Below are 15118 nucleotides of genomic sequence, written 5' to 3'. Positions count from 1 at the left end.
CAAAACTTTTGGAAACTGCATATATCTCACCTGGATTAATGCAAAATCCTAACTGGACTTTCTTATCCATGCTTGGCCCCTGTAGTTTATTTTCAACATATTTCAACATAGTACACAGAAAGATGATCTTTAAACAAGTCAGAAGAAACCCATCTATCTATCTAGACTTTGCATTTCTTGAACTATTAGATCTCCAGAGGAGCTAAGATTCTGGAAGAAGCTCTCCACAATCACTATACCCAATCCTACCCTCTTAAAACAGTCTTACTCTTGATGGGTATACCTTGCTATATCACTAATAAATTCCTGAATTTAGTCAATTATCTGTATAAATTTAGAAGAAAAAGAATGCTGTATTTGGTGTTAGATATCTACAAAGTTGAGCTATAGCTCAGGTAAAAGGGTTCTCAGGTTAAAAAAAAGCCAGTATAATTTCCAAAGCTGAATTCCCAGAAAGAAGACATAAAGACAAATCGTCTTTATATGGTGAACCAGGCCACAATTATGCTTTGTTTCAGATTTAACTATTTCAAAGGTGGAGATCCTTTTGGTGTATGTTTGTGTGGTGGGCAAACGGCTCACAGGTATATTTTCAGCACCTAGTCCAGTGTTTGGCCCATTCATTATATGCTTATTAAATAAGTGAATGGACCCCAAATGTTCTTTTATTCTGATGGTCTGTCATCATAGCGCATTTAGAGAAGAGCAGTATATTATTTTAGTGAACTGGAAGGCAGTTTGGGTTGCTAATTATGTGCCACCAAGAAACCAAATTCTCATGGCCCTCATATGCAATGCTGAAAACCTTGCTTTAAGTTTTTGGCATATTTTTATAATCCTTTCTAAATATTAATTAATCTCCAACCTCTGCTAGAAGAACTTACCTTCGAGAGATAAGACATTATCTGTCTTGTCTAAGCCCTGGAATTCTTTTTTATTTTTTCTGCCATATTTGTTTTCTAGTAAGGTTTTGAAATTCAGATTCTTTGAAAATGATCTATTTTAAATTGCTTTTTCCTTACATTCATGTCTTAAATGATATATTTGCATATGTTTATTAACAAGTCTTCTATATATAATGACTACATAGCCATTTCTTGAGGTTGTATTGTTCGAGGTATCAACCAGGAGTGTGGGAGCGAGGAGTTCAGAGAAACAACATCTGTCATGCCAATCTTGAAACTGATAGGAACATCAATTCATTGCAATGAAGTCTTATTAACCAGCATCATTTTTACATGGCTGGAAGACGATTTGCTTTAGAAAAGCTCATAGGAAAAATAGCAACAGCAAAAAGAAAAACCTGACAAAATGTATCCTTTTGTTTTGTTAGACAACATTTAAAAATCTGGAATTATAGTATATCTTCAGATATCTCTCTGAGAAAACTGGGCCCACATTCTCTATGGTAACACCTGAAAGGAGCTGAAGAGCAGTGCTCCCTCACCCGTTTTCAAATGAGGCAAAAAATAATTTAAAGAGAGATATTTAATCATGGACCTTACCTACCTAGACGTTATTGACATTTGAGTTTGCAACCTACATGATTGAAATCTACCATCTCCACTAAATCTATAATTTAGATTTAGTGTGTAGCCATTTTTAGTAGGAATAGAAACAGAATATTTCAGAAAACCTTTATTGAACCCCTGCAAAAATAAAATAGACTAGAGCAAAACCCCTTATTTATCTAAAAGGTGCACTCCTTGAGAATCCTACACAGGGAAAGCTTTATATTCTGTGTATTTTCACCGAAAGCAAGCCTGCAGCCTCTAAGTTGAAAGCGGCAGAAACAGAATTTGGGATATCATACAGACTTATACATTGATATAGAGGACATTACGATTTTCTCAAGAGATACTGGTCATAGAATTCTAGCAACCATAAAATACTGATAATTCTTTTACAAGTACTTTTATAGTAGCCTAAATTGATTTAATAGAGTACCGTCAAATCAATTCATTCTCTTAATTCTTAGGCTGCTTCATCTTAATTTGAATTGTTGGTGAACCAGGCCATCCAGCAATTATAGGGCCACATAGCATCTGATATATGATTCATAAGGCCAGCCACCTGAAGAATGAAAGCAGAGGTATAGAAGAAATTGTGAACTGAGCTCTTCATAAATTGAACCTCACTGAATGATAATTCGGTATTTGTAGGCACACTAAATACATACCTTTATACCAAAAAATAATTATCACATGCATTTATGTTTGTAAAGGGTTGAAAATGTGGCAATTATACCTCATACAGCACTAGATAACACAGAATATACTGTTGTAAGCAATACTTTAATATTTATGAAGGTGGTCTTCTTTAGCGTGACATATACATTTTATTCTCTTCGAGTCAAAATATGCCTTTGGGGATAAACAACGTGTGATGGAAAGGCATGGGTCACCAGATACACACAAAGTACCTTATTTATGGCTAATTATAGCAGTTAACGTATACTAAGTGTTTTTCGTGTCCTGAATAGTTTGCTAAGAACTTTGCACATCTTGTTTCATATAGCATTAGGAGTAGCTTCTTATAAGTATGATAAATGAGGCTTGGTAGGCGGTATGACTTGTCCAAGGCCAAAAAAGTTAATAACCATTGGAACTGGGGTTGGATTCTGGAAGACTGCATTGGATGTGCTGTTGACTATTATACATAATGCCTCTTCAGTGTGTTATTACTGTAGAGTCAGAGGCCATGACCTTGGAACCCAAATATTTTTCAGTTCTTTCTATGTTACTAGGTGGGTGTTAGGTGCTAACAAGAGTCAGATGGATGACAAACTGAAAATTTCAACTGTGGCCTTTTGTTTCCCAAGAAAATCTCAAAATTTTGTGTTTATTCTGTAAAAATAAATTTTAAAGCCTTTTTATTGTTCAGTAAATAAGCTCTTTATTTAAATATATTCCAAAATTGCTTTAATAATATTTTGTGTCTTTTTCTAATTATTTAAAAGCATCTACTTGGTTTAGTCACAGTCTAAGTACTAAGAGTGCAAAAATAAATATAGTATATGTATAACTTCATTATCATAGTGATTTATAATATTGTATAATAAAATAGGTGCTATATAATAATTTGCAGTGCTCTAAGCAAGCCACAGTTTTTAATTTTTAGTTTATTAACAATCTCAATGGCAAAAGCATAATCACTCATTAAAATGGAGATTTTAAATGGCTATAGGCATATTTATTTAAAAAAGTATACTTGTACATTAATAATTAGTCAGAATGCATTACAGTTGGATTAAGTCAGTCCACTGTTTCAACAAATATTCTAAGTCCAGAAAAATTATTGATTTAATATTACAGACAAATATTACAGATTAAATATTGAAATCTAAAGAATAAATAGGGAAAGAAAAAGTTATAGAAGAGCAGAAGATAAATGGGTAGGGTTTGACCAGTACACTCAATCACATCCAGTGCAATGCCTATCCATTACAGATAGGGTATCTTTTTCTAGTTCCCTCAAAAGGGAAATAATTCTTTTAAACTACTATTTCAAGTATACAGTTTTTATGGTAATGCTTAAAATCTGCTTAATATTATAATTATCTGTGCACCTGTTTTACTTACTATCTTTGACTATCAGTACTTTGAAGCCAGATCTGTGTTTTTGCATAACTAATCATCAGGGAAATACAAATCAAAACCACAATTCAATACCATGTTACTCCCGCAAGAATGGCCATAAAGAAAAAATAAAAAAATAACAGATATTGGCGTGGATGCAGTGAAAAGGGAACTTCTGCACTTCTGGGAGAAATGTAAAATAGTACAACCACTATGGAAAACAGTGTGAAGATTTCTTAAAATACTAAAAGTAGAAGTACCATTTCATCCAGCAATCCCACTACTGGATATCTACCCAGAGGAAAAGAAGTCATTATACGAAAAAGTTACATGCACACGTATGTTTATAGCAGCACAGTTCACAATTGCAGAAATGTGGAACCAGTCCAAATGCCCAAATCAATGAGTGGATAAAGAAACTGTGATATACATATATGATGGAATACTACTCAGCCATAAAAAGTAATGAATTAATGGCATTCACACAACCTGGATGGGATTGGAGACAATTATTCTAAGTGAAGTAACTCAGGAATGAAAAAACAAACATTGTGTGTTCTCACTTATAAGTGGGAGCTAAGCTATGAGAATGCAAAAGCATAAGAATTATACAGTGGACTTTGGGGACTCTGGGGTAAAGGGTGGGAAGGGGGTGAGGGATAAAATACTATGAATTGAGTTCAGTGTATACTGCTCGGGTGATGGGTGACCAAAATCTCACAAATCACCACTCAAGAACTTAGTCATGTAAGCAAATCCCACTTGTTTCCCAAATCTATGGAAATGAAAAAGAATACATTTGTGGTAGATGGCATATTACAAATAGTTGTTCCATTAAATTTACCTAATGTGGTTTATGAAGGACTATTAAAATAATTTAAAAGGCATCAAATTAGATTTTTTAGAGATAACTTTATACAAAATTCAATGAGGACTTGAAGCCTTCCACAAATGAACCTGGAAGTGAATTCTACCACAGCTCAAACTTGAGATGATTGCAATCCTAGTGGACACCTTGATGCAGCCTTGTGAAAGAAACTGAGCAAGCCCCCAGCTAAGCCACGCCCCAATTGTGGGGCAGTTTGTCACATCAAGGGATAACAAATGCATAATGACATTTTACCTCTACTGTATGATATTGTATATTACACATTAAATTACATATTGCACATCTTATTATATGAAATAGAAGCTAGCATTATAAGCAGAACAGATAATTTGCCTGGAAAGAAATCTTTGAATTTGATTCCTCCAAAACAGTTTGGTAGAATGAAAACAGAGAGGACAGGAGGAATGTTGCTATGGTCCAGGAGGAGCAGGAATTATGCATCTGTATAACTGGCTAATAGAAAAAATATGGTGGTGACAATTATGTAGTTAAGAGGATGGGTTCTTTTCTCAGAATGTCTATACCAAAACCCACATGAACCACTTGGTAGTTGTATTACCATGGCAAATTTTTCCATTGTCATAGAAAATAATTTCCTAATCTGGGAAATAAAAAATGGTGACTGTACTTATTGCATTGAGTTGTTTGGAGGTTTAATGTACTGCTACAATCTGATTACTCACCAAAATATCTGGCACATATGGAAAAAGAAGGAGCCAGAATAATAAGGACATTTGGATACTTTTTTCCTTTTTCTAAAAGAGAATATATGTTTTCTAAACACTGTAAAGCAGTGTACTCTATTTTCAAACAGATGTTTAGTCATGTTTAGCATCGAAAGATGTGAACGCTGAGGCAAAAAAGAGTTCAATAAGGACAAAGCATAGCAAAATAACCTCATTTTCCTTTCACAACAGGGGTATTAAACTTCCAAATGAAGGGAATGAATTAGAAATATTGTATCTTAACTTCAGTAGAAATGTTTTACATGACAAATTGATAGAGATTATCATAAAAAGCAGTTGATGACACTGGGTGAGGCTTTTGTTGCTAGTTTGACAGGCACATCTGAAGATTATCCATTTATTTTTTTGTTATCCCTAAGAAAGTTTTTGAGTGGCAAGCCTTAGGCCTGCTTTCTCTCCTCAGTCATGTCTCAACTCGTTTTGTTAAATATGAATTTTATATTTGTCAATGCCAAAATGTTGAGAGATAGTGCACATATTATAAATGAAAAAAAGAAAAACCTTCTAAATGTGTGGAATAAAACTACAGACTAAAATCATAAGATGAGATTTTACTGAAGTAAGTTAACAGTTGTCAAAACAATCAGTCTCCCACACATAAGATGTAAAGAATCATCACCACATCGTACTTCCCATGAAAATTTATGAAAAATAACTAGAGTTAAAAATAAGACTATGTGTAAAGTTAAGAGTGTCAAAAACTGAAAAAATAGTTTCTGATATCTTTTCCTATTTGCAAGCAAGAAGTTAGCCTGACAGTTTTATGGACTGGCAGAAGACAAGAGACACCCAGATCAAAGATAAAGGTTAGTTTATTACTCATCAGTAGCAATGACCAGAATGTCATTATTTTTAACAGTTTCCCAAACTCCAGTTCTCACAGGATGATGTAAAGAGAGCCAGGCTACATCTCCACATTCAATGAGCTGCATTACAGGAGAGAAATTCTGAGGTTTATCATGTACAGTAAACAAACCTGCTCCTGGATGTGGATTCAGACAGAATATCTTCAAAGGATATTTGCTATACATACATCCCTGAAAGAGTACTCTGGCTCAGGGTGGTGGCTCATGCCTGTAATCCCAGCACTTTAGGAGGCCGAGGAGGGTGGATTACTTGAGGTCAGGAGTTCAATACCAGCCTGGCCAACATGGTGAAACCCTATCTGTACTAAAAATACAATAGCCAGGCGTGGTGGCGGTCGCCTGTAATCCCAGCTACCCGGGAGGCTGAGGGACAAGAATCACTTGAACCTGGGAGGCAGAGGTTGCAGTGAGCTGAGATCATGTCACTGCCACTGCACTCCAGCCTGGGAGACTCCATCTCAAAAAAAGAAAGAAAGAAAGAAAGAAAGAGAAAGGAAAGGAAGGAAGGGAACTCTGGACAAAAAGGGCAATTACAGTTTTTGCTTGCTCGGCATGCAGAAATATGAGAGCTCCCATGAAGAACTGTATCTTGGCAATGGAGCTTTGAAAATACAAATAGAAGCTGACATTAAGATCTCACACAATCATCATTTGGCAGCACATCACACTAGTATGATTAATAATATGATAACATTATATTATTAATGATTATAAAAATGCTTATTTTGTTCAGTTTTAAACACCATATTTTGAAGCACATATGAGAACGTGCAGAATGTTCACCCAAACATTGAAGGGAATGCCAAATGAAGAAAATTGTTCACTTGCAAATATACTTCTATACTACGAAGTATAGAAGAAAAAACTACAAGTAAATTATTAACCTCCAATAATTAAATACCTTTTCTTTAGAGACAGCCGGATGTCACATTTTCTCTACTTCTTCCCAGTTCTCAGCTCTGCTACTCCTAATGAATGCTTCTCACTAAAAGTCCTATTTCTTCAAGCATGCTCTCAGAATTACTTGAACTTGAGTCAGAGTATTTAAGAAATTTGTGATCTTTCAAACTCGAAAATCATTACATACGGCATACTTACCTCACCATAAGACCAAAAAGAGATCATGACTCTGGAAATACAAATAATCATGAGTTAAAGATATTCCAAATCTAAAGATATCTGAAGTGAAAGGAAGGAAATTCAATCAGTATCATGAGACAACTCTGATAAAATAATGGTAAAAAACGTACAGTTTAGAAAGAAGTAGAGAGGAAAAATGCAGGATTGTATCTGAGAATTATGATTATTATTATTAATACTTGAGGGATTTAGAATGCCATCTACTTCAGAGATTCTGTTTTCAGGATAATTGCCACTGAATCACACTTATGGACCTTGTATCATGTCCTCTAATTGTTTTCTTATATACTGGGAAATGCCAGCATAGAAGTCTGTAAACCTAGCCTTGGAATTTTCTCAACAAGTGAGAATTCAGCAAAAACAATCTATGTGGTGTAAATTTTAAAAAGTAAGAAAGATTCTTAAGTTTATGATAAAATAAATTACTAAAATATGCAGCACATTTTACCAGGGGTAGCAGGAGAAGAATAAAAAGAAAAAATAACTCAACCCAAAGACAATGAATTTCAATCCTGTGCAGGGATCAATATGTAACCTGTGAAAAAGTAGTAACTTTTTATTGACAAACACATGCAAATAAATATACACAAAATCCTGGTCATGTATAAAGTTCTAGAGAGACAAATCAATACACAGAATCGGAACAAATCTTTAAAGTAAGTTTATCAATGGCTTCTGAAATAATCATATTCTATATAAATATAAATTAGCTACAGGAACAAAAGAAAGTTTAGGACAATGTTTTGTGTTTTCAACCTCTACTGCAGATTGGAATCACCTGAGAATCTTTTAAAACTACTGATCCCCCAAGGATTGTTATATACTTGGTTATATTTGTGGCACAGACATCAGGATTTAAAATGCTACTCATGTAATTCTGATGTGAATCCAAGGTTGAGGACCATTACTTAGAATAAGAATAGGAACCATTTACAGAGAGTGAATTGAGAAGTATTAAAAGGCTTACTAATGCAAGCAATTCTTACTATCAGGCAATAGAGCCTGTCCGTTAACATATTACATTTAGGACAACTGGCCCGGCGCGTTAGCTCACGCCTGTAATCCCAGCACTTTGGGAGGCTGAGGCGGGCGGATCACGAGGTCAGGAGATCCAGACCAACCTGGTTAACACAATGAAACCCCATCTCTACTAAAAAAAGAAAAATACAAAAAAATTAGCAGGGAGTGGTGGCGGGTGCCTGTAGTCCCAGCTACTCGGGAGGCTGAAGCAGGAGAATGGCGTGAACCTGGGAGGCGGAGCTTGCAGTGAGCCAAGATTGCGCCACTGCACTCCAGCCTGGGCGAAAAAGCGAGACTCCGTCTCAAAAAAAAAAAAAAAAACTTAGGACAACCTTAGCGGAAATACAAATTCTATCAAGAGAAAAAACAATGTAAGCATACTGAAACCTAAAAAATAGTAAATACTCTATAAAGTTATTATGAGGGCTGATAATTGGATGACATATGCATTGTGAATGTCACAGGCTCTTATCCACAGTATACAGATTCCTTATGTATTATCTTTTTTTTTTTTTTTTTTTTTTTGAGACGCAGTCTCACTCTTTCACCCAGGCCGGACTGCAGTGGCGCTATCTAGGCTCACTGCAAGCTCCGCCTCCCGAGTTCACGCCATTCTCCTGCCTCAGCCTCCCGAGTAGCTGGGACTATAGGCGCCTGCCACTGCGCCGGGCTAATTTTTTGTATTTTTAGTAGAGACGGGGTTTCACCGTGTTAGCCAAGATGGTCTCGATCTCCTGACCTCGTGATCCGCCTGCCTCGGCCTCCGAAAGTGCTGGGATTACAGGCGTGAGCCACCGCGCCCGGCCTGTATTATCTTATACATTATATATAATAAACATATTGGTAATTCCTTAGGCCTTGTTGATCTTTAAATGTCTTGATAATCATCAGTATTAGCACCAGTCAACATTTGTCATAAAATTTCTTCCCATTTAGCAATAAAGTAAATTAGACAGATGACATCTTGGCACTTGAGGGAGATAACCTGGCTAAAGGAGGATTCTACGACAAGTACATGATAAATGTTGCACTTCAGACTACTGGAAAATAAGTGTACAGAGTCTAACTTTATTTTCCACTCAACCTCTAACTAGTTCATTTTTGTTTAGCTTGAGTTGACCAAACTCTCCCCTATCTGCCAAAGAGAAAAAATAAATGGTGTACTCTCCCAGGGAAGAAAAATATTCCTTTTAGTCTTTTGGATATTTTGTACTTAATATCCATTATACTACAAAAATATGAGATATATCAATATACAGAAAAATATGAGTAATCAAGATGAAAAAGTCAATAAGAGCAGAATCTCAGTTAATACAGTTATTAGAGTTAGCAAACAAAGAGTTTAAAACAACCAATAGCTTTCAGCCAACTGGCAAACTGGACAAAAATACATAAGACAACTCTTTTTAGATATGGGACAATAGGCAGTGAAAGAAAATGTTTCTGAGACAATGAAAACAAACCAAAAAAATAAAAATAAATAAAACCAAGGTGAGCCCTATGATTATCCCAGTTTTCTTACTTGAGGCATTTTCTGCACCCTGTATCACAGACAGGGAATCAAATGGAACATGACAGTCTTGCTGAGTTAAGGAGACAGAAATAAAATTTAGAAGAGGGTTTGACAGAAGTGGTGGAGCAGATCACTGGAGAATAGGGAGCTAACATAGAAAGAGTTCTAGAAGTCTTCATCAGGTACTCTTAAGCCTTTCACAGAATCCAAAGCTGTTCACATGTAGGATGAAACTCCATGAGGCCAGGAAAAGAACAAGTGCTGGGGACTGCAACCTGAACAATCTTCACAGCTCACACAGCCATGGGAAATGTTCAAACTCTTACCAGCCACAGTAGAGAAACTTCACTGAATGCCCAGGACATTCAGTGTTGGGTTTGTACCTTATTCGTAATGATTAGTAATGCTAAATAATCTCCAGCCTAATGGCTACTGTAGAAACATCCTGTCTAAAATCATGCCTTGAAAACATCAAGCTGATCTGAATGTGACATAATGGTCTACCAAAATAACACGCTCTAAAGGAAGCTGACAGAATATAAATACTCCACAGTGTAACATATTCATTGTCCAGAATTCAATGAAAATAGAACTCTAGATAGGGGTGCAGGGCAAAATGTGATCCATAACATGAGGAAAGTCAAGCAATAGACACAAATGACAGTGATGATGGAATTAGCAGAAAAACAAAACAAAACAAAAAAAAAACTTTAAACCTACTCTAATAAATATCCTTGAGGATTTACAGGAAAACATGAAAGCTTCTCAGCATTTTGGCTAAGATCAAGTGTAAAAGACAACATGAAAACAATGTGATATATGGGGACTATAAAAAGACCCAAAAATGGAATTGTATTAAAATATATAATATCTGAAATAAAAATTTATTAAATAGGTTTATCAGCAGTTTGTAGATACTGTGAAAGTTAAGTTGAAGACCTAGCAATAGAAACTACCTAAAACAAAACCTAAAATGAATTGTATTAAAATATATAATATCTGAAATAAAAATGTACTAAATAGGTTTATCAGCAGTTTGTAGATACTGTGGAAGTGAACTTGAAGACCTAGCAATAGAAACGACCTAAAATGAAACATAGAAATAAAGGCTAAGAAATAATTAATAGAGTTTCATTGACCTACAGGATACCATCAAGTGACCTAACGTCTGTGTCCCAGAAAAAGGTAGCGTTTGAAAAAGCAACAAAAGTTTTTCAAATGTACTAAAAAATTATAAACTCACAGATTTGTGAAACTCAACCACAGTCAAGCAGGAGAAATACAAAGAAAACCACACATAAGCTCATAAAAATTAGATTTCTGGAAACTAATGAAAACAAGAAAAGCATAAAAGCAGACAAATCAGACATTTAAAAAAATCAAGATAAAAGCATTCGTTGATGTCTAGGTAGACCCTAAGCAGGGCAAATAACAAAGGAACAGTATCTGTGAAGTACTGTGAGAAAAAAAAAAATCCAAAACAACCTCAGTCTATTATTCCCTGTCCAATATAAAATATCCTTCCAAAAGCTTAACTGGAAACATTTTCAGACAAATGAAAGTTAAAAGAATTAGTGGACATCAGACTCACGCTGTAAGTACTATCAGAGGAAACTTAAGGAAAAAGACAGCACATGGAAAACTCTGACCTACTCAACAGAATGACGAGGAGAATGAATAGCAAATATGTACATAAATATAAAACTTTTTTCCATTAAAAATCTATAAAATATAATTGACAATTTATAGCAAAAATAACAATGTATTAGTCATAGTAGCGTTATCATAGCACCAACAAGAAACAACTGTCCAAAAACAATAAAATTTATGTGTAAAATGGAATACCATGCAGCATTAAAAATAATGAATTATCATCATAAGAAATAACATGAGTCTCGGCCAGGCACAGTGGCTCACGCCTATAATCCCAGCACTTTGGGAGGCAGAGGCGGCGGATCACGAGGTCAGGAGATAGAGACCAACCTGGCTAACACCGTGAAAGCCCGTCTCTACTAAAAATACAAAAAAATTAGCTGGGCGTGGTGGCGCGTGCCTGTAGTCCCAGCTACTCGGGAGGCTGAGGCAGGAGAATCGCTTGAACCCGGGAGGTGGAGTTTGCAGTGAGCCGAGATCGCGCCATTGCACTCCAGCCTGGGCGGCAGAGCGAGACTCTGCCTCCAAAAAGAAAAAAAAAAGAAGAAAAAAGAAATCACATGAGTCTCATAGAGAAAATATTGAGCAAAGGAAACAAAGTAAAAAACAGAATAATTCTTGTAATTCCATTTATATGAAGTGAAAAATAGGCAAAAATAATTAAAGGTGATAAAAATCAGAATACTGATAATCTTTGGAGAGGATTTGGCTCATAGATGCACGGAAGAATATTTCGCTTGCTTTACATTTTGGAGTTTTTAACCTGGGTAGTAGCCATGACAGTGTTGTCCCATCAGGAGCCGCTGCTGCAAAGATGCGGCTGCAGCGGGGGAGGTGCGGCCGGGGGGCTGCTTGCTCTGCTGCGCCAGCGGGGCCAGGGACAGGCTCCTGTCCCCTACTGAGTCAGCGGGACAGGAGCCCTATACTCTCTGGCACAACTGCAGCCACCCAGCTGCAGCTCCAAGACCTGGGCATCCCTGCACCCCAGGCGGCCGGGAAGCCCCTGCCCCTGCAGTCTCTGTTTCCCCTCCCTGTCCTCTTTCCCTCTCATGGTCCCCACTCCGGTGCAGAGCAAAGTTGTAGCTGAGCCCAGGCACTGTGGCGACCTGGCCTGTTGTGAGCATGCGCTTAGGGCAGCACTGACAGACCAGCCCCCTGCTGCCTCGGCCTCCTCTGGATTTTGGGTACCGACAAGCACGGGAGGAAGACCAAGGAGGTGCTGAGGGCAGCTCAACACGGGCCTGTGGCACCCCTCGGGGCAGTCAGCAGGGGTGCTGTGGATGGCATGGTGATGCTGGCAGGAGACAGACAGCCTCCTGGGTGGGAAGGGAGAGGTCCCTGGTGAAACCCCTCCTTCAAGCCACGAACAGCCTGCAGCCTGAGGGCTGGGCTGCCAGTTCGGATGGAGTCGTCAGCCTGGAGTGAGAACTTACGGTGCTTTTCCCAGGCCACCCATAGCCGCCCATGGACCAGTTAGCATGCACTTCCTCCCTTCTGAGCCCATAAAAACCCTTACTCAACCAGCCTCATACAGATAGGGGAACTACCAGCTGCAGGAAGGAGCTACCCACTTCAGGTCTCCTCGACTGGTCAGGTGATCTGCCTGCAGAAAGTAGCTATCCACCATGGGTGTCCTGTCTGCTGAGAGCTGGACCCTGGTTGGGACCACCTGCCTTCTGATAGGAGGTACCCACTCTGGATTTCCTCTCTCCTGATAGCTGGACACTTGTCTGTACGACCTGCCTGAGGAACGGATTTACCCACTTCGGGTCTCCTGAGAGCTGTTACTTTCCTCAATAAAGCTTCTCTCTGCCTTGCTCACCGTCCAACTGCCCGCATACCTCATTCTCCCTGGATGCGGGACAAAAACTTAGGACCCACAGAATGGCTGCTGGGACTGAAAGAACTGTAACACAAACAGGGTTGAAACCACCCCCCTTCCCCAACACCCCCCAAGGAAGTTGCAGGCGATGAGAAGGAGAGAACAGGCTGCAACCATTCAGGGAGCCCAGACCTAGGGGCTCCTCAAGCCAGGGATGTGACACCCTTTTGGGGGCTCTGTGGTTTCTAGCATCTCCAAGCTTTCAGGCACCACTGTGTTACCCTCGTCCAGACACGGGTGCCTGCAGCAGCTGTTTGCGGTGCATCGGATCCAACCAAAGTTTTCACGGAGCTATTGACTGTGCCTGTGCCTGGAGCTGCCCTCCCGGCCAATCGAGATGCAAATGATCCCTGTTCCGTAAAAACTTAGTTCCAAAGTTAGAGTGTATTGTAGGGCATTAACTAATTATGCCTCTAATTTTGCAAACTTGTTTTAGTATGTCCCTTTTGGTAGCATATATAAAACACATTTTTCTTAGTTCTTCTTTAAACTAACTTTTTCATTCAACTGGTATCCTCAATAATTTAGATAAATATTTGACATATATTCATTCTGTAAATTAGTCACATTTTAATTTTTTTGCAATTATACTTTGGCAAAAGAAAGGGAAAATATGAAGCATTATGTAGATACAGTTAAGAGGACTTACTGAGACAGTGAATATAAGTAGCAAAGTATCAATGAAGATATAGGTCACTGCAGTTAAGAGTCAATATTGAAGTCATTTTGTACCTCCTCTGCAGAGTATAGTTTGTTCTCTATTTTTTTAACCAAGTAGTTTTTATAATATTATGTGTTTTCTGGTTGAGAATCTGTAACAGTAGAATATTCATATTTTTTCAATTACTTTATTCAATTTTTAAACTTCTTACTTATTTAACAACATTTTCCTAATAATGACTTAAATTTTTCTACTTAATAATATACAATTTTCAGCCTTTTCTTTAAATTATAAGCAACAGGAAATATATATACCTGCTTTTTGATATGGCCAGTTCCTCAAATCTTTTGAAAATTATAGTTTGCCTAAAATTTTCTCTTTTCTTATTCCAAAAAACCCCGTAATTACTGTAATTGACTCTCTTTTGAAAATATATACAGTTCTACCATCATCTTAATAGTTGCTCATTGTACATTCTCAATTTACATTTTTTCAAGGATTTTTTTTGTTATTATTATTATTTTTGACAGTCTCACTCTGTTGCCCAGGCTGGAGTGCAGTGGCGCAATCACAGCTCCCTGCAGCCTCAACCTCACAGAGTCAGGTGATCCTCCTACCTCAGCCTCCCAAGTAGCTAAGACTACAGGCACATACCACCACACACGTCTGGTTAATTTTAGTATTTTTTGTGGAGACAGAGTTTTTCCATGTTGCCCTGGCTGGTCTCAAACTCCTGGCCTCAAACAATCTGCCTGCCTTGGCCTCCCGAAGTGCTGGGATTACAAGGCCTGAGCCACCATGCTCAGCAACAGGTTTAAGAACAAGGTTAAACTTGACAGTTGGAATACAAACAAAACAGTGTCTAGAGAGGACAGAAAAAAATGCAACAGAAGTTGAAAGTTTTAAAGTTAGTCATAATCTGTGAAAGAGAAACTGTGAAGAATGGAAGTTAATATCCCATAAAACAGCTTATTTTGAGTAATCTTTTAAACTTTCAAAACACTGACAAAACTTCGTTCATTTTTTTTAAACTTTAGCTTTATGAGGGATGTGTATTGTGGCATCCCAGCAGGTAGATCTAATCTTCATTAAAAATAGCACTCACAGAATAACTAACATATAAATGTGACCTCCTCAAAGAAAACTCTGTGACTAGCCACTCACAGCAAT

The 15118-nt window shown here is 37.5% G+C and overlaps 1 annotated feature.

Moving 5' to 3' along the window:
* Positions 12433 to 13066: an enhancer, noted in NCBI's record as "H3K4me1 hESC enhancer chr2:35616593-35617226 (GRCh37/hg19 assembly coordinates)". NCBI's record gives its function as "activates a minimal SCP1, AML or CMV promoter by ChIP-STARR-seq in primed H9 embryonic stem cells {active_cell/tissue: H9 hESC(primed)}" and the evidence as "EXISTENCE:reporter gene assay evidence [ECO:0000049][PMID:30033119]".

The sequence above is a fragment of the Homo sapiens genome, chromosome 2, assembly GCF_000001405.40.
Source record: "Homo sapiens chromosome 2, GRCh38.p14 Primary Assembly".
In the NCBI taxonomy this organism is placed as follows: Eukaryota; Metazoa; Chordata; class Mammalia; order Primates; family Hominidae; genus Homo; species Homo sapiens.
The sequence above is the reverse complement of the archived record's forward strand: the minus strand, read 5'-3'. Positions and strand labels throughout refer to the sequence as shown.